The sequence below is a fragment of the Homo sapiens genome, chromosome 1, assembly GCF_000001405.40.
Source record: "Homo sapiens chromosome 1, GRCh38.p14 Primary Assembly".
Classification (NCBI taxonomy): domain Eukaryota; kingdom Metazoa; phylum Chordata; class Mammalia; order Primates; family Hominidae; genus Homo; species Homo sapiens.
Window position 1 is genome coordinate 66,224,500 of NC_000001.11, and position 23,269 is coordinate 66,247,768.

General features: G+C 39.0%; 1 protein-coding gene across 5 annotated transcripts in view, besides 1 other annotated feature; it reads left to right on the forward strand.

Annotated features, from left to right (window-relative positions):
* Positions 1 to 23,269, forward strand: part of PDE4B (phosphodiesterase 4B) — a 582,070-nt gene that overhangs the window by 431,990 nt on the left and 126,811 nt on the right. For all 5 annotated transcript variants that reach the window (NM_001037341.2, NM_001297440.2, NM_002600.4 and 2 more), the window contains one exon: positions 22,961 to 23,155. In NM_001037341.2, coding sequence (NP_001032418.1) covers positions 22,961 to 23,155 — 195 coding nt within the window. The remainder of the gene's footprint in view (positions 1 to 22,960; positions 23,156 to 23,269) is intronic.
* Positions 3,910 to 4,093: a silencer, noted in NCBI's record as "fragment chr1:66694092-66694275 (GRCh37/hg19 assembly coordinates)". NCBI's record gives its function as "represses an EF-1alpha promoter that drives an FKBP-Casp9 reporter gene in an ReSE screen in K562 erythroleukemia cells {active_cell/tissue: K562}" and the evidence as "EXISTENCE:reporter gene assay evidence [ECO:0000049][PMID:32094911]".

Genomic DNA, 23,269 nt, shown 5'->3' on the forward strand with positions numbered 1-23,269 from the left:
TCTGAGGTCAGGAGTTCAAGACCAGCCTGGGCAACATAGTGAAACCCCGTCTCTACTAAAACTAAAAAACTTACGTGGGCACTGTGGCGTGTGCCTGTAATCCCAGCTACTCAGGAGGCTGAGGCAGGAGAATTACTTGAGCTTGGGAGGCAGAGGTTGCAGTGAGCCGAGATTGTGCCATTGCACTCCATCCTGGCAGCAGATCAAGACTCTGCCTCAAAAATAATAATAATAATAATAGTCAAGCAAACAACTCGAGCTCATTCTAAACTAATGACCACAAATCTCAGATGAGCTGTCAATGTTACTCTGCAATTTTATTGCAAATTCTGGTCAAGTCACTCTCTTAGTCTCCAGAACAACTATTTTATGTCATCTCATCTCTACTTAAACCTCCAAAACTATGCCCGTCTGTCGCATTCTTACTGAGAAAATAGAAGAAATCACAAGAGAGCTAATTTATCTGTCACCGAATCTACCAATGTGTTCTGCCTTTTCTTTGGACACAATTCATGAACCATATCCAGCATTTCCACTGTACTCTGGACACCACTTCACCTTGGCTCCTCGAGGACTTTGCACCTGCATCTGTCTCCTCCCTCACCTTGATCATCAATTTCTCTCTCTCTCTCAAACATAAAAACATGACATTAAAGAAGCCTACATGGGCTCTGCAACCTCCTCCAGTTACTGTGTCATGTCTGGCCTCTGCTTCACAGTCAAGCTCTTTTAAAAGTTGTTTTTATTTTCTCACCCCCCGTTCTCACCTCAACTCACTTCAGCCAGGCTTGGGTCTGCTACGCCCAAATGGAAACTACATTCTCAATATTCTCACTTTTGCCAAAACTCATGGCACAATATCAATCCTCATTTTACTCTTCTCAGTCGATAATATTTCTAAGAATTCCTGCGTTTTTGAAGTGAACTCAGATATTTTTCCACATATTTTATAATGGGAGTCTTTGAGAGATATGAGCTCCTTGACCTTCATTAAGTAGATTTGAATGGAATTCAATGAAGGTCTGTTTCTCCCTAGGCACAGGTATACCAGCTCCCATGGCATTTCTCCTGATGGGCTCTAGAGCAAGACGTCTTATGCACAGTTCCAGCCAGAATTCAACTAGATTTGGGCTCTAGAAATTCTAAACTGAATACCTGGGCCCAGTAACCAGGGCAGGGATATTTGATGTTTAATCCAGCTGTGAAATCTTTTTAAAATCACCCTGTGTTTAACTTTGTAAATTATACTGTTCTTTGAGTCTCCTGTTTTATTTTGTTTTCCTGGTTATTGGCATTTCCAATTTCTTATTTTTGTTTATTTGCTTAATGGATTAGTAACTCATCAATAAATTCCCCCTTGGGAGAAGTAACACATTCATTGTATGTGTCATGTTTGTCTTAAAGAAAGCCTAGCTCATTGGATTATTTCTTCTGTTGGTGCAAACACTACAGACCTAGGGCAAACACTTGCTTATGTGCATACTGAAATTCATTGTCATTCTGCTTCTGTATCTTCAGGTCCTAAGCCTTGTGGAATTGGTGTGAGGGTCAGGAAGTGAAGTTGTGCAGTGCAGGAATTAGAAATTCCAACAGACCTTTTGATTTGTCTAGCAAAATGCTTTTAATTTTTTTAACTTAATTTTTTAAAGCTGAGCATGCATTCAGTTCACCAAGACCCCAACAATCACTTTTTATTATCTTTCTATCTCTTGTCTGACCAGTTTTATTTAAAATATCTTTGTTGAGGGTCTTCTACAGGTCAGGCACTGTACTAGGCTCTAGAGATATTGCAGGAACAAGATAGCAAGGTCCCAAATCTCATGAAGCCTGCATTTAATGGAGAGATACTGATTAAAAATGAAGCAACAAATAAACAAACAAGAACATTCCAAATAATGAGAAATGCAATTAAGTTAATAGAATAAGATGATGTGGTGTGAAAAGTGTGCAGAAGGAGGTGTAACTATAGATTGACTAGACCAGAAAACCCTCCTGAGGAGCTGGCATTTGCTCTGAGGAATCAATAATATGAAGGAGCCACTTTGTGAAGAATCAGGGAGAGGATGCTAAGCAGAGCCAACAGCAAGGTCAAAGAGCCTGTGGCAAGGAAAGTTTGGTTTGTTGCAAGAAAAGAACAGTCAGTGCAAAATAGAAGCAAGAAGGAAAATTGTATAAAATGAGATCGGAAAGCAGAGAGCAGATTGTGGAAATTCTTATAGGCTATCGTAAGGATTTTGGATTTTATTTTAAATGTGATGGACAGCTATGGAAGATTTTAAAGCATGATCTAGTTTATAGTTTTTAAAGTTTACTCTGATTACTGTGGGTAAAATAGTTTATAGAATCAAAGAATGGAAACAAGAAGATCAATGACTGTTGAAAAAAATCCTCATAACAGATAATGATAGCTTGAGTGAGGTTTGGAACTATTAAAGTGAACAGAATTACAAGGATAGGACAGACATTGGAAATAGAGCCAACAGGACTTGCTGATGTATTAAATGCATCTCGTGAAGGAAAGAGAGGAATCAAGGACAATTCCAGATTTTGGGCTTGAGCAACAGGCTAGACAAGAGTGTCATTGATTGAGAAGGGAAGGACTGAATGAGCAACAGACTTAGTTGGGAAAAGAAATAATTCTGTTTCGGCCATGTGGCGTCTAAGATGCATACGAGACATCCATGTGTAAAGTTGTGTAGGCACTGGATATATGAGTCACTGCATCCATTTACATTACCCCTAAGGGCTTCTAAGTTTGTGTCTTTGGTACAGACCATAGGTTAAGAACACTGGTTCAGGAGTAAAAAGATCTTTGCTTGAATCCAGTTTTTGATGCTTAACAGCTCTGTGACCTTGAGCAAAATTCTTAAGTTATCTAGACCTCAGGATCCCTATCTATATAATCAGGTTAAAATATTATGTACCTCATAAATTGATTGTGAAGATTAAATAATGATATATGCAAAGTGCTAAACAAAGTGTCCAGAAAAATATAAATATACAATATATATTAGGGATTATTTATTGAACATCTACTCTGAGATATGCCTTTTGTATATATTACTTCACCTAGCCCTCCCACATTCCTAACATCAGCTCTCCCAGCTAAATATCACTCTACAGGAGACTGAGAACAGATTGATACAAACACAGATTTATTTTTTCACTTTTCAAAGAAAATGTACATACCTGCATGGACTACCCCTGACTTACCAACATAGGTAGCATTTCTAAGAAGCTGAAATGGTTAGCTCTACACTGAAATCCACATTTTTATGGATATGCCTATTTCATATCTCTTCTTTGATGTCTGTCATTTCAAACTTGACATGATCTGATCTCTACCCCAAACCCAAATCTTCTGCTGACTTCCTCATCTTAGTTGAGGACATCTCGGGCCTTTTGATTGCCCAGGTATAACACCCTGTAATCATCATCAGTCCTTGTCTTTCTCACACATGCTTTATGAAAGCTTTGTATGAAATGGCTTCATGGTACCCCACTCTCATTTCCTGCTACTCACCCCCTCACTCACTTTGCTCCAGCCACACTGGCCTACTTGCTGTTATTCAAATACACTAGGCATGCTCTTGCTTTTGCACTTGCTGTTTCCTTAGCCTGACACCCAAATATCCTAGACATTCCCCCAGACATCTGTCTTGTTAACCTGACCACCTGTTCAAAATTAAATCTCTCCTGGCACTATTTCCCTTCCCTTCCTTTACCCCGGCTCATTCGGAGAGACACTATACTCTCTGAAGCCAGTTTCTCTGGAGTCAATTCTTCTATCAGTAAAGATCCATTGGTCCTCTGCCTGCTGACTCAGCCCCATGACATGCATTAGGGTTGTCTCTAGCTGCAATATAAGAAATCATGCAACTTTGGGAGGCCAAGGCGGGCGGATCACGAGGTCAGGAGATCAAGACCATCCTGGCTAACACAGTGAAACCCCATCTCTACTAAAAATACAAAAAATTAGCCAGACATGGTGGTGGGCGCCTGTAGTCCCAGCTATTCAGGAGGCTGAGGCAGGAGAATGGCATGAACCCGGGAGGCGGAGCTTGCAGTGAGCTGAGCTGAGATCGCGCCACTGCACTCCAGCCTGGGCGACAGAGCAAGACTCCGTTAAAAAAAAAAAAAAAAACATGCTATAGTGACTAAACAGGGCTTTATTTGTCTCATGCAACAAGAAGTTCAAGGGTAGATAGTCTAAGGCCTGACACGACTCAGTGTGTCACCAAAGATTCGGAATCCTCTTATCTTCTTTTTCTACCATCCTTGTGCTTATCCTCAAAGCCATACTATTGCTACTGATTTTTTATGAGTTCCCTATTTCAGGCAGAAAAAACGAGGAAAGGGTAAAAAGCAAAAGATAAAGAGTTCTCCTATGTTGTAAAGTCTGTCTTCTATAGTCTGCACTGCCTGAAATTGCTTATTTTTCAGCTATTTTTAACCTATAAAATGGCAATTTCATAAGGTCTGACCTAATATTGGGGAAGGAACATCTTCCCCAGAGGCTTTTTTTTGAGATGGAGTCTTGCTCTGTCGCCCAGGCTGGAGTGCAGTGGCTCGATATTGGCTCACTGCTAGCTCTGCCTCCTGGGTTCACGCCATTCTCCTGCCTCAGGCTCCTGAGTAGCTAGGATTACAGGCGCCCACCACCATGCCCGGCTAATTTTTTTTGTATTTTTAGCAGAGATGGGGTTTCACCGTGTTAGCCAGGATGGTCTTGATCTCCTGACCTCGTGATCCGCCCGCCTCGGCCTCCCAAAGTGCTGGGATTACAGGCGTGAGCCACCATGCCCGGCCCCCCAGAGGCTTCTACCTGCATCTCATTGGCCAGAACTATGCCACTTGGACACTCTCAGCCTCAGGCAGAGCAGGACATAAAGATTGTGTGAGCCTTTAAGGCAGCCACTTCAGTGTTTGCCATCCACAATTTTGTTCGTTTTGAGTTACCAATCTTCCATGAACTTATTCAGCTTCCTGGCTTTGAGCCATCCCCCTCAGAGCCTCTGTTACAAGGCAGCCACCACTGTTTCATAGACATGGGGGTTCATAACTCTTCACTAAATCCCTACTCCACACCTCAGCACATGAGAACTTTTGGGTCTCTTATGTGATATCTACAGATTTTGAGGAATTACATTTCAGAGACTGGGGCAGTAATGATAGAATCTCGGGCCTTCTGTCTAAATAAACCATACTGTCATTTCCATTCTACCACATTATCCTGTGCTCGTGTGGCTAAAAAAAAAACCCTGCAGAGCTGAACTTCTAAATCTTTATACATATTATTTAATCTAATCCTCACAGCAAGCTTTTAGCTCTCTCTTCTATTGCTATTTTATACACGAGGAAACTAAATCTCAGAGAGGTTAAATCCAAGGCCCTTTAGCTAGCAAATGACAGAGCTTCTATTCAAACTCAGGTCTGCCTCAAGCCAAAGCCTCGTCCTGATCCATTTCATTAAATTACTACCAAGTATTACAGATCTTTCCTAGGGCAATCATTTTCTTCTATATAGGACTCCTGGAGTCACTCTGAGTATTTCTAATGAGGCTGACAACAAAGGGAAGCTTGGAAGTTTCTAAGCAGTCACTTCCACAGAGTTGCTTAATTTGCCCTAATTCCTGGTTTTTGCAGCCCCTGTCCTAGGCTCTTGCTCACATATGGACTTGAATTTGTGGAAAGGTCAAAAATGATATTCTAGATGGAGAGATAGTCTTGGAGTACAAAGAACATAAGCAGAAATGAGTAAATAAAGCTCTAGGAGAGCGTGTGATCCAGCTCAATTAAAGGTTAGATAAGCCATGGTGGCACATAAGCTTTGAAGGTAGAGTTCAAATCATACCATTAGGATTTTGACTGCCAGGCAGAAGAGTTTGATCTTTCTTCTGTTGGCAATGATGATGTATTGGAGGTTTTGACACAGGAGAGTTAAATTATACTTTGTGTTTACAACTTTAAAAAATCAAAAAATTTAAAAATTGCCTTGAATGCAAAGCAAACATAATAATCCTACCATAGGGATTCCAAGGCAAATTTGAAAGTTTTGTGACATTTTCTGTTATCATTTCTGTTTTCCAAGATAGCAATGAGATTTAATTTGCGCATCACAAAGACCGTTAGCCTTTAAACAGACAAAACAGAAAATTCTTACGTCTAAATTCAATTTTTGTTGTAAGAACAAAAGTTGCTCCTACTAACGTTAAATAACAAATGACCGGAAGCATCTTGCAATTCAATGTTAAAATAGTTCCTGACCAGGTGCAGTGTGGCTCACGCCTGTAATCCCAGCACTTTGGGAAACCAAGGAGGGCAGATCACGAGGTCAGGAGTTTGAGACCAGCCTGGCCAACATGGTGAAACCCTGCTTCCACTCAAAATACAAAAATTAGCGGGGCACAGTGGCATGTGCTACTCAGGAGGCTGAGGGCCAGAGAATTGCTTGAACCCAGGAGGCGGAGGTTGCAGTGAGCCGAGATTGCACCACTGCACTCCAGCCTGGGTGACAGAGCGAGAATCTGTCTAAAAAAAAAAAAAAAAAAAATTCCTAAATTGTAAAACCAGCATGGCAAACGAAATGAATATTATGGCTTCCTTGTCTAGAGTAGAATGGTCATGATTCAGAATATAATTTTTTAAAACATATTGAAGAATATTGAATAATTTAAGTGACTCATTAATAACATTGAGAAGCTACATGCAATAAACTCAGCTAGACCATTTAAGGTACTGGTTTTTATTTGTCCAAGTAATGTCACATTATTGAGGTGGCACAGAAAACAGTAATCCATCTGTGAGTCAGAAATATGTGAGTCAGCAACACTGTGTGAAGAGCCCTCTGTCCTTTTGATTACTCAAACTGATGTTTTGATTCAACTGAGTAATTTACCAGTAAGTTAAGATAATTGAGTATTAAAAAGGAAATCCATGTTGAGAGAATTGGTTGTGAAAAGATGAAGTGAGGAAATGGAGTTATTGACAGAGCTGAGAAGTATTCAGGGATGTCTGTATCAAATAAATCAACCCTTCAAATGACTTGTTTTACTGTTGGTGATTGAGTGAGTCCAAGGACAGGCTTCTAAGAGAAGCAGTTAAAAGAAATGCTTTGCAAATGTGTTTCCTCAAATACTTAAATTTGAAGGCAGTAACTATTCAAAGGATGGATTTGCAAAATAGCAATGCCTTCTTTAAAAACAGGTGTTTAAATTGGTATTGATATCTGAAGAGGAAAATGAACTCACATTGGTTAAAAAGTAAAGACTTCTCTATTCACTTCAAAACACTGGTCTTATTTCCCTCTTTTGAAAGGCTTCCTATGGAAAGAAAAATCAAAGCCTATCACGGTGATTCAGGAGTTTTATACTCCATGTGTGGGTCAAGTGTGAGTGAGGTAAAGGATTGTGACAGTTCCTCAAGGATACTGTCATAGTGAGGCCATCTCCCAAACCTGACTGGTTCCACCTTAATTTGGCTTTGGGGAATGAAATTGGGGACTGTCCAGCCCGATGAAGGGCAAGCTAAGACCTGCTCATAGGCATTTGGTTTAAATTACAAGAAGATTAAATTTCTAAAAATAATGGCAAAGAACAGCAAAGCCTGGAGACTGAGCTTTAATAGAATCATCATACCATTTATTTTTGGAATGTTGACGTTTCTGAAACTCCTCAGATGCAAGATCAATGCTAAGTAGTTTTATAGAAATTGGATGCATTTTCCATAAGATTACCAGCAGAGCAGAGGGCAGTGATATGCAAAAGCAGTGCAGAGACAGTGCCTCAAATACACTGCAAAGCTCTGTCCGGGCGCCTCTCCTGAAGCACCTGGCATCAGCACTACATTTTCAGACCTTTATCTGTTAAAATGTTTTTTTGCCCTTTTGGGGATATACAGTGTGCTAGCCTTGTTGTCTAGCTGCATTGGTCATTCATCATAGTTTTTCTGTAGTTCTCATTGTTTTAAACACATTAGGGAAGGATTGGTAAATAGATAGTATTCTATATCATGATAAAAGCTTGATAAAATCACCTAGGAAATCGGTGTAGAAAAAGAAAAGAGCGTAAAGCTGAGCCCAGGGGCCCTCCAACATTTAGAATTGGAAAAAAAGTTAGAGTTTGGAAAAAGACCTAGGAAGCCAAGAATATAGGAGAAAAACCAGGACAAGACATACCTTGAAAGTCAAATGAAGGATAACTTGGGTCAAATATTCCTGATATTTGAGAAAGATAGTGACTAAGAATTGACCATTGGTTTGGACAAGACGTAGGCCACTGATGATCTTGACCAGAGGGATTTATTATGAAGTGTTGCGGGCCAAATCCTGATTCTAGTGTGTTGAGAAGAAAATAAGTGTTAAGGAAATGGAGACAGCAATAAAGACAACTTGTTAGAAAGTTTTGTTTAAAAAGAATTGCCGGAAAATGAGGCAATGGATGCAGGGGTGCATGGAATAACCACAAGTCTTTTTAAAACACGTATTTATAAGGTACAAATGACATGCCAAAAATGCACTTCTTAAAGTGTACAATTCAGACACATATACATTTATGAAGCTATCATTACATTGAAGATAATAAATATAGCCATCAAACCCAAAAGTTTCCCTTTGCAACCCCTCCCACCTCTCCCTGACACCACCCCTTTCCCCCCAGGAAACTACCTATCTTCTTTCTGTCACCATAGATTGATTTTATTTTCTAGAATTCTATATAAATGGAATTATACATTATGTACTCTATTTATCAGACTTATTTCACTCAGCATAATTAGTTTAGGATTCATCCATGTTACGGCAGTTGTCAGTAGTGCATTCTTATTTATTGCTAAGTGGTATTCCACTGTATGGGTATATCACAATTTGTTTATCCATTCACCTGTTACATTTGGATTGTTTCCAGTTTTTTTTTTACTATGCCAATGCTACAATGAATATTCTGCATAGACTATTATATCATCTATTAATAAAAATCATTTTATGTCTTCCTTTTCAGTGTATTTGCTTTGATATCATTGTCTTTCCTTATTGCACTGGGTAAAACCTCCAGTAAAATGTTGAGTAGAAGCGGAAAGAACAGGCATTCGTACCTGGTTCCTAATTTTATAGAGAAATAATTCAGTCTTTTATCTTAAAGGATAATGTCAGCTGAAAGTTTTCACAGATGCCGTTTACCTGGTTGATATGTAAATATATGTGTGTGTGTGTGTGTGTATAAAGGATGGATGTTGAACTTTATCAAATGCTTTTTTCTTCACCTAATTATGTGATTACATGTATGTTGGTTTGTTTTTCAGTCTGTTAGCATGGAGAACTACATTGATTTTTTTTTGTCTGTTATAACAACCTTGTATTCCTTGGATACACCCTACTTAATCATAAGGTGTCATCCTCTTCATATGTTATTAGATTTGATTTGATATAATTTTGTTAAGAATTGTTCCATGTGTGTTTATGGTGATATTATTCTTTTGGGTGATTGTCTTTGATTTTTATATGGGAGAAACCCTGACCTTATACAGTGAGTTGAGAAATATTCCCTCCTCTTCAATTTTCTAAAATGATGTGTAGAGTCAGTATAATTTTTTAAATATTTCGGGCAGAAGTCACCAGTGAAGTTATCTGGGCATGCAGTTTTCTTTATGGAAATGTTTTAAACTTTAAAATTCAATTTCTGTAATAGATACAGACCTATTCACATTATTTCTTTCTTCTTGAGTGAATTTTGATAGATGGTGTTTTACAAGGAATTCGTCCACTTCATTGAAGTTGTCAAATGTACTGGCATAATTATTATTATTATTTTTGAGACGGAGTCTTGCTCTGTCGCCAAGACTGGAGTGCAATGGCAGGATGTTGGCTCACTGCAACCTCTGCCTCCCGGGTTCAAGTGATTCTCCCGCTTCAGCCTCCCATGTAGCTGGGACTACAGGTGCATGCCACTATATCTAGCTAATTTTTGTGTTTTTAGTAGAGACAGGGTTTCACTATGTTAGCCAGGCTGGTCTCAAACGCCTGACCTCAGGTGATCCGCCTGGCTCAGCCTTCCAAAGTGCTGGGATTACAGGCATGAGCCACCGTGCCCAGCCTGGTATAATTTTTTTTATGATTCTTTATTATTTTTATAGTATCTTTAGAGTCTATCCTGTTATCTCCTCTCTCATTCTTTCAGTAACTTGTATCTCTTCTTTTTTTTTCCTGGTAAGTCTGACTAGAGGTTTGTCAATTTTATTGATTACTCAAAACCTGTTTTGGCTTCACTGATCTCTCTCTCCCTCTCTCTTTTATTTCCGCTCTATCTTTATTTTTTCCCTTCTGCTTCCTTTGTGATTTATTTGCTTTTTCTTGAGCTAGAAACGGAAGTCATTTTTTCTATTTTTTTAATAAAGGTATTTTAGAGCTGTAGATTTCCCTGAACATGCTGCTTTAGCTGCATCCTACAAATTTTAACATATAATGTTTTCGTTGTCATTCAGTTCAAAATACTTTTCTCTTTTCATTGTATCTTTAGCTCATGAGTTGTTTAGACTGTATTTAGTTTACAAATGCCTGGGGCTTTACCAAAAATCTTTCTGGTTTTGATTTCTAGTTTAATTCCGCTCTGATCAGAAGACAAACTTTGTATGACTTCAAATTTTTTTGATGTTTTGAGACTTGTTTTATAGACTAGAACGTCAGCTATTTTGGTGACGTTTCACGTGCACTTGAAAAAATGTCTATCTTTGTCAATTAGTTAAATTGATGATGTTGTTCAAGTCTTCTATATCCTTACTGGGTTTCTGTCTATTTGTTCCATCAATTATTGAGGCTATAATTGTGTAGTTTTCTATTTCTTTTTTCAGTTTTATCAATTTTTGCCTTATGTAGTTTGAAACTCTATTAATAGGTACAGAAATATTTAGAATTGTTATATTCTCAAGAACTGACTCTTTTATCATTATGAAATCATCCTTTTTATTCCTGGTAATATTCTTAACTCTGGAATCTACTTATTCTTTTATTAATATAGACATTCTAGATTTCTGATGATTAGTGTTATCATAGTTTATCTTTTTTCATTCTTTTCCTTTTAACCTATTTGTGTCTTTATATTTAAAGTGATCTATTATAAGCCACATGTAGTCAGGTCATGCTTTTTTAATCCATCTTGAAAATGTCTTCCTTTTAAATGTGATGTTTAGACCATTTACATTTGAAGGTAATATTGCCATGGTCAGGCTTAAATCTACCATGTTGCTATTTGTTTTCTATTTGTCTTATCCATTCTGTTGAAAAAAAATGTTTAGACAAGTTAAATTTAACAGAGTTTAACTGAGCAAAGGATTTTTTCAGAATCGGGCAGCCCTCAGATCAGAACAGGTTCAGAGAGCAGCATTCCACAGTATGGGCAGCAGCATTTATTAATAGAAAACAGTAATGTACAGAAACAGCTTGATTAGCATGATTACTTGGCCATCCAAAATTGAAGCTTGGCTGCTGTGATTGGCTGAGCTCAGCTATTTGTTACATAAGTATAAGCCTAAGTTAAGCTTTCAGTTAATTTATATCGTAAAAAGTACAGAGGAAGTTTCAGGCTAAATTTAGCGGTTCATTATATGCTTTTTCCTCTTTTTCTTCTCTTTTTTGGATAGTTGTTTTATGCTTCCATTTCCTTTGTTAGCTTATTATATATATCTCTTCATTTTTAAAATTTTAATAGTTACTTTAGGATTTAGAGTATAAATTTTTAGTTTATCACAGTCTACCTTCAAGCAATATTTTACCGCTTTATCTAGCTGTAAGAATCTTCAGAATACCCTTCTATTTCCCCCTTCTTTGCCTTTGTACTCTTGTCATATAGTTTACTTCTACATATGTCATGAACTTCACAGTAGATTGTTATTATGTGTGCTTTTCAATCACTTATCTTTTAAAGAGATTTTAATAAGAAGAAAAAAAATGTTTATTCCTTTGTATAGAACCAGATTTCCATCTGGTATCATTTTCCTTCTGCTTGAAGGATTTCCTTTAACATTTCTTGTACTTTGGGTTTGCTGGAGATGATGAATTCCTTCAACTTTCATATGTTTGATGAAAATCTTTTTACTAGTTATTTTTTGTTTGTGGGTTTGTTTGTTTTTGATACAAAACTTTACAGCTTGATTGTTTGCTCATGCAAAATACAAAACGATGATGCAGGAGAGAGTAAATGTATGCAGAAGGGTAGACCATGAGTAGGTGAGGGAGGACAGGGTTCAGGACAGAGGAGTTGGCTTCTGATAAAATCACAGAAATGTATCCATAGCAGCAAGAAGAAAGACAGAACAGTTGTTTACACGTGTGAGTTGATTGATTCATTAATGGATCCAACCAAACTGGTTTTAAATCCACGATGTACCATTTAATAGCTAAGTGGTTGTCAGCAAGTTATTTAAGCCTTTTAAATTTGAATTTTCACGTCTATAAAAACAAGTTCCTTCCTTCCTCAGAAGGTGATTAGAGCAATGAAATGAGGTAATATATACCAAATGTACAGCACATGACCTGGCACATTGTGCCCACTCAATACCTGTGAGAAAAAAATATATAGCTTTTCTATGCTTTACTGCCTAAGTACAAGTGGAAAGATTCTGAAATATCATTTTTCCACTTCTACTTTCTCTGCTTCCCTTTCTCTCACCCCTCCTCCCTTCCCAAAAGAACATATTTAAAATCCAAATGCCAGGCTGTCTGCAGGTGCAGTGTTCAAGACTGATAACATTTGGAGGCCAGATGTTAACTGACATAAACACTATTAAGTGCTATGTAGACCGGAGGCTGAGGCATTGATTTCCAATTTTATGATTATTATTTGAATTTACAGCAAACCATAATGCCATTCCTTCCACGTCTCTACCTCCACCAAAAAGACAATATATGGCCTATTCATTTTCAAGAGAATATAAATTGTTTTTAAAAATATGAAGTTCTTGAAATATTAAGTTATGCTGTTTCACAAACCTGGAACTGAAAATGCACCCTTGATGTGCACCTCAACACCTCCCTAGAGCTCTGCTTGAAAGGTCAAAGACTTGTGAAATTTGATCTGAAAACCAGTCTCATTTTCTGAAATAAATGCAGAGTAATAACGACAAAAATGCTTCAAACCTGGGACAAGTTTTTACATCAACTTATGTTTTAAATCTCAGTTTCCTTAGACTTGATGTGGGAGCTGGCCCAATGACAATAAATAAATATCCTTTCTCTGAGTAAAGAAATACTTTGTAAAAACAAGTTGGGTCTGCTGTGAACCATGGAGGTTATTGTTGGTGTTTAATGCGCTCACACAGTCAATTATTCTTTCATTAATCTATTGAGCAGACATTTGTTCATAACCTGCAGTATGTCCCAGGAAAGTGCCAGGCACTAGTTAGTATACCGTTAAGTGCAACAGATGGCCCTCGTGGGGCTTAGAGTTGTGTGAGAGAGGAAGGCAATAAAAGGGGAAAAAAAAGACAAATAAATATAGCAAAAAGCTTTAATAGGTACTGTGAAGGGAACTTACTTAAATAATGGGTTAAGGAAGGAATTTTTTAGTAGATGACTTAAACTAAAGCTTAAAGAATGAGAAGAAGGCAGCCATCCAGAGAGTAGAGGAGAAAACAAACAGAAAGACCAACATTTATTCATTCATTCACTCGACAAATATTTATGTAGCACTTTCTACCAGCCAGGGACTGTTCAAAGCAAAGCAGATATACCAGGAAGGAAAACACACACGTGCAAAATTGCTGAATTGAGAAAGGATTTGGCATGTTCTGGAACAGAAAGGAAGCTTCTGAGGCTGAATCACACTGAGCAGGGCACAGTGTGGTATTGGATGAGGATGGGGGGTGTGGCAAGGGCTAGATTATGTGAAAATTTGTGATCCATGGCAAGGAGTTTGGATTTTATCCTACAGGCAGTGACATGATTTTATTATTGTGTTAAAAGATTGCTCTTGCTATGTGGAGAAGGTTTGGAGGGTGGAGTTGGGCACAGTGGAAGTGGAGAGATCCATGGGGTGGCTATTCCAGTTCAGATGAGAGATTTTAATGCCGTGGTGGAAACAGAGATACACAAAACAGTACAGTTTCTGTATAGAGTGGATAGGACCTGTTGGTCAACTGAAAAGGAGAAAGGAGGTTGGGAAGGGAAGTAAAATCATGGATGATTCTGGTTTGTACAACTGAGTAGATGGTGGTTCCATTTACTACTATGAGGGAGAATGAGTGAGTAGGTGGTTGGGAGCAGGGAATGAAAACTAAGGGGGCGGGGAAGGGTGGGATAAAGATTAAACTAAAGTTTCCTAGCCAAGTCTTGAAGAATTAAATCAATTCAAAAATTTAATTCATTATGTCAGTGGTTACTATGGCCCCATCACTGGAATATACAAACAGAAGCTAAATGACCATTTATCTGCAATATTTTAGATACAGGTTTCAAACATATATCTAGAACTGATTTTCAAATGGTAGGTGAGAACTTACAAAAGAAAGCAGCAATTTCTTGAAGCCATCACTACTTTAGTAAAAACTAGTTTTCCCAGATCAATCTCATTTCCCTAATTGATCTTGAGCTATTGGAAGCTGGCACCATATTTCTTAATAAAAATCTTATTTAATTAATAGATTGTCTTATTGGCAGAGATACTTAACTTATGAATTAAAGTATTTATATTTTACTAATAGAGCATTTAACGATCTCTTATGATAACTTTAAAAAATGGAGAATGTAGCCTGGAAAATATTGAGCGAGTAGAATATTTTGTATACTCAAAGTGCACCCTGGGGCAGAATCAATGCAAAGCCACCCCCCTCCCTGGCCCTTTATAATGTCTACATACAGAAAACATTCCCACACAAAATTAATCTCTTTTAGAGAACTTTTCCTTTCCTTAGAATTACAGTTTTATAAAAAGTGGTAATTACTATTAAATGTTGTAACATCGTTTAGGGGTTTTAGTAGATAAAAGTTTGAAATCGAGTCTGTGAAATTTCAGCCATAATTAGAAAACATAAAGAAAGACATACTTTGTAATTCCTATTATTTCTGAGAAACATTTTTTACCTGGAAAGGGATAGACAGAGCATTTTGTAAGCTTGCTAGAAATAATGCTCCTATATTTATGAAGAGGGAATGTTTACATATGGTCTTGTTCTGCTTGTGCATTAAATAGTATGACATAGGAACAACACAATGGGAAATTACCAAAGAATCACACTAAAATATACTCCTAAGCATTTGAAACAAAACTTTTAAAAAATGATACTTAACAATTTCAGTAGAGAAACTAAGTGTTGATATTCTTTTTTCATTGTTCACCCATTTCTTGATAGTGAAATGTTTACAACCCAAAAAAAGGATCTCAATCAATAAGTAAAATAATTTGCAAAATATATTTATCATCAAAAATTAAAGCTTTCTAACAAAGGAACATTGAGAAGTACTTGTGGCATTTCCATCTCTCACCACATCAATACCAAAGAATGTGAATGATTTTTGCTGTGTGTGGTCATTGGGCCTCTCCTTTGGGCTTAGAGCCCTGTGGAAGGCATTCTAGCCCCTCCCTGCAGGTGGTATTTGGTAGCACATCCCCAGTTCTTCTTTATGGAGCTAACTTTTAGGGGTTGATTAGGGTACAGGGCAAGAGATGACTGAGTATCACCGTATCACCCACAGTCAGTCTTGTTGAAGTTCGTCTGTGCTGTCTGTGGTGGGTATCAAGGGGAGTTTATAAAAATTCCTTGGTCCCAAACCATTCATTTGTTCATTTGTTTATTCATCAGACGTGATAGGCATGGCCCTTAGCACTGGGGTTAAAAATAAGAAAAAGATTCAAACCTAAGTATCATCTGACTCAATTCTTTAAAGTATAGAAATGAGGATAGGAAGGAACTAAAGGACAAGTTTTACCACTACCTGTATCTGATCTTAACTCAAATGACACCGCCTGAGAAAGGTGGATGGTGTTTCCCGGTGAAGTGCAATAGACAACCTACATGGCTGGATAGAGCGGACCTGCTGACTACCCAAACTAAAGAAACATTATTCCCTTTGTCTCTATCACACTACTATGTTTTATTTTCTTCATGGTATTTCTCACTATCTGAAACTATCTTACTTTCCTATTTGTTGTCTATCTTTCCCTCAGGGACCTTGTTCCATACACTGCTGTATTCTCAGGCGGAGAACAGTGCCTTGTTTCATAGTGGGTGCTTGCTAAATATTTGTTGAGTAAATGAATGCTCATCACCATTAACATAAAACCACACTTGATAACCAACATTTTTTCTATCTCCAAAATGTCTGCAAGTTGTCTAATCTTGTACCTCAGGGATCTACCTCACAACTTCATTTCTGTGGGAAAAGACTGAGGTGTGGGGGGCAGGATACAGGGAGCCCCTGTTTCATTTCAGTTAGTTCCCCCACAGAGCTGGAAGTAGAAGCCGGATCCCTAGAATCTCAGAGCTCTTCAGCATTCCTGTGCTACCTCTGGTTGAGCCTTTCTGTGGAGAAAGCAGTTTTGGATTACTGCCATGAATGTAATTTTCAAAGGCCCTGGAAGAAGAGAAAGCAATGGAAGCTGCTTCTAGACTTCAGATGAGCTGAACATCAGAGTTCGTCTTCCTAGTCTGTGGAAGGGAAGTCATAGACTTTGGAACTGAATTCTTATGGCATAACTGTAATATTCTGCTGTAGCTGTGGCCAGAGGAGTTCTGCCTGCCTTCGTCTAGGTCGTGGGCTCTATATTAGGCTGGCTGTGTTTTTCACAGCTTAGTCCTTCATTAGAAATTAGGACTGGCTGCAGCCTGCAGTGACTAATTATAGAAAGATGGGTCATTGTCATTGTGGGTAAAAACACATGTGCCTGTTAAACTTCTCTGTCTATAGGGATCAGATAGTACATTTGAAGTGATAGCCAATATAATCACTTAAGTAAATGGATAAATATTTATTTGTTTTTATTAAAATGATAGACAAGCATTTGAAGACATTCATTTCTTTTTCTTTTTTTTTCTTTTTGTGAGACTGAGTCTCACTCTGTTGCTCAGCTGGGAGTGCAGTGGCGCATCTTGTCTCACTGCAATCTCCGCCTTCCAGATGCAAGTGATTCTCCTGCCTCAGCCTCCCGATACAGTTAGTTTCTGAGTACAACCGAGGAGAATATTTTCCAATAGAAATTTTAAGAAACACAGCATTTTTTCATGACTATGCCTACCCCCACAACACACACACTCTATACAGAAACATACACCTTATTATAGAAACATTTTCTGTAAGCAAAAACTCCTAGGACGGAGTTCCTGGGATACTGAAGGGAGAATGCGGAAAGAAGAACCTAGTGACTCCCTTTAAGAGCTCCACTGAGGTCATCACCTGCCAGAGGTTTTAATCCAAATGAAACTGGCTTTTTGTCAGATGCGAGAAAAAACTATAAGATCTTTGCATTCATTTAACAAATATTTGTTATGTGCCTTTTGGTGTGATACTCAGCTCTAGGCCCTGGGACTACAAAACTAAATGAAGGCTTCATTCCTGCTTCAAGGAGGTCACCATCTGGTGGAGTGAGAGAGATAAGTAAACACAAGAGTATAGTCTAGCATGGCCGGTTCTGGAATCAAGGAGTCTAAGGGGACATCTGAGGGGTCAGGGCACAGATTGTAAGGTGTAATGAAAAGAGGTCACACCTTAGCAGTTTTCAAATGAAGCTTCACATTTTTCAAATGAAGCTTCACATTTTGGATCCTCCATTTTCTCTTCTTTGAAATGAGGCAAAAAGAATTAGCCTGCCAGAGTTGTTATAATTCAATGATATAAAAGAGACTCAGTGAGTAATTTCTAAGAAAGAAAAGCAAAATTGAGACAGCAAGAGCTCTCTCCCAAAAGGCAGTGAACCATTCTGCGGACCTGTGGATTTGAATCTCTTTTGTGGAGTTTGCAGTCTTTCTAGCGGGTTATTTGTTAGAATAAGCCAAAGAGGTTCACCTAGAGAATGACTAAGTTGCGAAAGAAAAATCTCCTCTGGTTCAGAAATGAATTATTCCTAGGATGTTGCTTCATGAGTCTTTGTTACAGAAATTGGAGTTTGTGCAAGTAATTGGGGATCAGGAAACAACCACCCTGGGGACAATTGCAGGCAATTCTGCGACCACCTGGCTTAACTTGAATTCTAGGAAGTAGAGCTTCTCTTAGGTTAATCAAAGGTTTCATGGTACACCTTGTGGCTCTTTTCTTTATCCCTGATTTTTCCTCCCAGGCTTATGAATAAGGCTTCAGTTATGTTTCTCCCTCCAAAATTGCCAGCAGCCCCACCTGCTGGGCTTGGAGGCTGGGGCCTGCAGCCTAAGGACAGTGTGGCAGTCTGCTGCCATCTGCTGGCTCACGTGTCACCAGCTCAGGGCTGGCTTTGCAAGGATTCCCCAGGAATAGAAACCACCAGGAGAATAACTGTGGGCCAGAGAACGTTCCTGCTCATATTGAAAAATGAAGAGATGAGAAGATGGCAGACACAAGCTGGTATAAGAAGGCTTTTCTCCTCCTGCGAGTTTGTGTAAAGATGTGACCATCTCAAACAGCTAAGCCAGTGATATTTCTATGCAGATTTGTTTTGCTCAGGGAGAACATAGCAGTGCTTTCTAAAAAATGTATCTTATTTTATTTAGATCACTGTCTCACAAGGCCGAACAAATAAATTAATGACACATCTCTGTAGATTCATTTAAAGGAAACAGCAGAAACACAAGGCAGTGGGGTCTGAGGTGGGTATAGGGAAGCAGAAAGAGGGGAGGGATTGGAGAAACATTTCGCAGTAAGTTATAGTATATTTTAGTTGGTTCTGTCCACATTTTTTGAAGACCTACTGTTTACAAGGCTCTGACCCAGGTGCCTGGGATACAAGAATGAGTAATACTTAGTAATACTGAGTCCCTTCTGGCTTGGAGATAACAATGTATTGGGGAGCAGTAAATAAATAGAGAATTAAAACAGAATTGCAAGTACTGTGATAAAGTACTATGGTAAAGGAATCTAGGAGAGCACAGAGGAGGAGCATGTGTCAAAATCAAACTGGACTGCAGTGTCAGAGAGCGCATACTCTGGGAGATGGCATGAACTGAATTTTGAAGATACTAGCTCAATGGAGACTGTAATGGGAAAGACATTCCAGTTATGGGAAGCACCACTTCTCATACAGCCCATCACCCACCATCACTGCCTGGAAGAGCTGAGAACACTAGATACAATGCAAGAGAAGGCTGTTAAAACATTAGGTCTCAGATGAGCAATTGATTCAGTCCAGGGATATTGGCAGAGGCAGGGAGAAGAAGGCAGATCCAAGTGAGCAGGCAACATAAATAATCTTGAAGATCAGAGAGCAGGGCTTGGCAGGGTCTTTGGACCCAGGGAAAAGGCCACTTTCAATGCCGTGTATATATGGGCAACCCCTTCCAGGCAGGTATAAGTCACAATCAAATATTCAGAAACTTGTGAGTAACTTCCTGTCTTAATCTATCTGAAACTTCTGTGTGACCTCATTTAAATGTTGAAGTAGCTACAAGCTCAAAGTTATCAACTGCAACATTATTCAGAATTGCAAATATGAAGAGTGAAAGTAGAGAAAATGCTTGAGAAAATTGTGATACAGCAACTGAATGAAGCAGCTCATGGAAAATGCTAATTCTGAAAACTGTAGCACATAACAAATACTTGTGAAAAAAATCAAGATCCAAACCTGCAGGAGAAAAAATATTCAGAAGAGAAAAAAATAAACTGCTAGTAATGATGTTGTTCTTTTCTCTATTGTCTACGTTTTATATAATATTCTTATATTTCTTTTATAATGATTTTTTTAAAATATAAAGCAGCCTAAAGGTGAAATATGTGTCCTGATGAAGGCAGAGGCAAAAATTACCCTAAACAAATAATGGCCCTATTTATGTGTTTGTTTCTGCTACTGTAGATTCCATTTTCTTCCTAATTGTATTTCAGTTTGTGTGGTATATTCATTTTGCTTATTAAGCCTGTCCTCAGCCTTCCCTTTGCCCACACCCCTCCTCACTCCCTGGATCTGTGGGACGTATTGTGATGTCTGCCCGCTAATTTTGCTGTGACTGGGGCTGGTGTCTGGTTGGTGATTCATGTTTGTTCCAAAGTTGTACATCTGTGTTGGTTGCTTTGAAGCAGTGCCCCAGGGAATATGAAAGGCCATTTGTCTCCCTAAGACTGCTTCTTTGCATCAGAGACTTCTTCCCTGGCTTCGTTTAAATTCCAGCAAGCTCTCCTGAGTTTAAGTAGGGTAAGAAGGAAAGAAAACAAAAGCAAACAGGGGCATCATGGAGAGATCATTGGAGTCAGGGTCTAACCCCAGTTTACCTGGCATAAGTGAACTTCTTGGATTCTAATACTAGGGACAGAATGCCTATGACACTCATTTTAAGGGTAATGCTTTGTGGACTTACCCTCTGCCCACTAGGAATGCCTTTAGCAAAAAAGAAGGCAGAATGAGCCTTGGTGGAAACCCTGAATGGAAAGAGTTCTAAGAGCTCGGTGGGCATACCCACTTGGCACCTGCTCTAAGATTTTAGCACAGATACACACAGCAGTGGTATTCATAATATTTAATGACTGGCACTGCATGAGCACTGATGAATTAATGGACACAGGCACAGTGCTTCCAGACACCAATCCTTTAGTTACTGGATCACCAAGAAGTCCAGCTGACCCTGGAGGGCCTGGGGCAGTGGATGGATGCTAACAGTTTTAAAAGTATGTTAGTGTTTTAATATCCAGAAAGGTTGCACAGATACATACCAGATGAATAACAACATAAATACATGAAATTTCTAAACTCATGCCCACCATTAAGTTTTGTGTAATCCCCTCTTCACTTTTTAAGAACCTACCTACTTTGCCCTTAAAAATAGTTCAGAGCCCATGACCTACTGTTTCTAGGGGTTTGGGTGGCACACAAAAAAGCCCTTATCCACAGAGGGGCTTTTTATTTTGCTCAACTACGATAGATCTCACCCAAGGGAAGTTTGCAAGTCGCTTTATTATATTTTTGCTTGCTGCAATGTATGTGGCTAACAACGTAGCTCTGCCTCCAGGCAGGCTGGCAAGCAGGCTGCTAGTATGAGTGATTGTCCACCTGCCTGTCTGCCTGCAGTCTTTGAAAGGCAGCCCCATCCCAGACCATTAGCCTACTGAGAAAATTCATCTACAGTACCTTGAAAGACCAAACATATTGGATTGTTATAGCTTTTCTTTGGCCTTTTACCCAGACATTATCATTTTCTGCTTCTTATCAGACACCTGGAGTTTGTGGGTTGTCTAAAAGCAGCTTCTGTGAATGGTCTCTGGGGAAGCCTTATAACCCTGCCTTCTGTCATTTCTTCTCCTCATGTTTCAAGGAAACCTACAGCTTCAGGGTAATTTGCTGCCTCCCCGTTTTCATTCAAGAGAGCAGCCAAGGTTGCTTATAGTCTAACTGGCTCTTTATGTACCAAATTACTTTTGGTTGAATTCAGAGACTAAAGAGGAATTTCACTCAGTTATCTATTGGGCCATTCTGGAGTTCTGTCATTAGGAAAGTCTGAGGTTGTAAAGAAATTAGTTGCAAGACATGAGTCTTCCAATTCTGCTCTGCAAGTTACTAGCCTATGACTCTGAGAAAGGTATTTACATCTTGCTAAGCCTCATTTACCTCAAATGTAGAGTAGGATCATTTTATATACTTCACAGGGTTGTTAGGAGTAAATGGAATAATGTATTGGGAAGCACTTTGTAAAGTGAAGAAATATAAGCAAAATCCACCCAAAGTGAGCTGGTTGTAAGAACTAGTGAAAGGAAAGAACCAAGAATGTAGACATAAATCATGGCCGCTGAATTGGTATACAGGAAATTCACTGTTGTGGTCTAATTTGAAAAAAGGAGCATCCTCAGCCCCATATCTTTTGTTCACCATCTCTCTGCAAAGCTTTAGCTGGGGAGCAGTGAGAGTTCTGGAGAAATACTAGGGAAGAGGATTACTGTCAATTTGAGGCTAAGAGAGATTGTGTGTGCAGGAAAAAATGCATATGTAATGATAAAGGAGAATGTGAAAAGGGCACAGTGCCCAGGGAAATACCAGGAGCGTGGATACAGAAAACAAGAGACAAAATCTCTACTGCTCCCGTCTGTGTGTTCATTGATCAGAGCATGTTCAAATAATTCTGGGCTTGAGGGCACCTTTCTAGAGTGACGAAGACCGATAGGAAACCTCATGACACTCCTCTGTGGGAGCCAGTGAATGCATCCTCCCCCAGAGACAAAGCTCTGCAGCCTTGGAGAGTAATTTGGTGTTAGCAGATTAATTAAGTCATTTTCTGTGGTTAAATTTGCAGATGAATATTAAATCTCAGGCTGGGCCTCCCATCTAATAACCCAGTGGAGGTTGTCAGGATAACACTTTGTTCCTGAAACATTTAGAAATACGTGTATTGTATATTTAATGAGACTGTGATATTTATTCATGACAGGAAGAAGTCTTCCAGACAGGAAGACTTTACTCATGTGATAGTTCAGGGTCTGACACCTAGAGCTGTGCTGAATGCCCCCTCTAAAGTTGCTTATTATCACCAAGTTGTTGTATGCCTGGCACCAACGCCGAATTTGTCCAAGTTACTCATGTCACTGAAAGGCCATGGAGTTTGCTCCTGGGTTCAAATTCTGGCTCCATTATTTGCTAATGGTGGGCATGGGTAAATAACTGAACTTCAGTGCGACTCAGTTTCCTATACATAACATGAAAATAATAATGACTGCAACTCTAAGCTGTGTTGAGGATGAAAACTTTCCATAGTACATACAGTTTTATGTAAAATGCTTAGTGTATAGTACCTGCCACACGTTGGTTCTCAGTGTATACTATGTGTCCTCCTCCATGGTTATCATGTGACCAGAGTTTCCCACTTTCTCTTTAAGCTTTGATGTGGAAAATGGCCCTTCCCCAGGTCGGAGTCCACTGGATCCCCAGGCCAGCTCTTCCGCTGGGCTGGTACTTCACGCCACCTTTCCTGGGCACAGCCAGCGCAGAGAGTCATTTCTCTACAGATCAGACAGCGACTATGACTTGTCACCAAAGGCGATGTCGAGAAACTCTTCTCTTCCAAGCGAGCAGTAAGTACAAGCTCTGTCTGGCTTCCAGTTTCACATTTACCTCATCTCTACCCAGGTCACAGTGGCAGCAACAACAATTCCCCATTAATCTATGGTAAGGATGAAGGAAGAAAA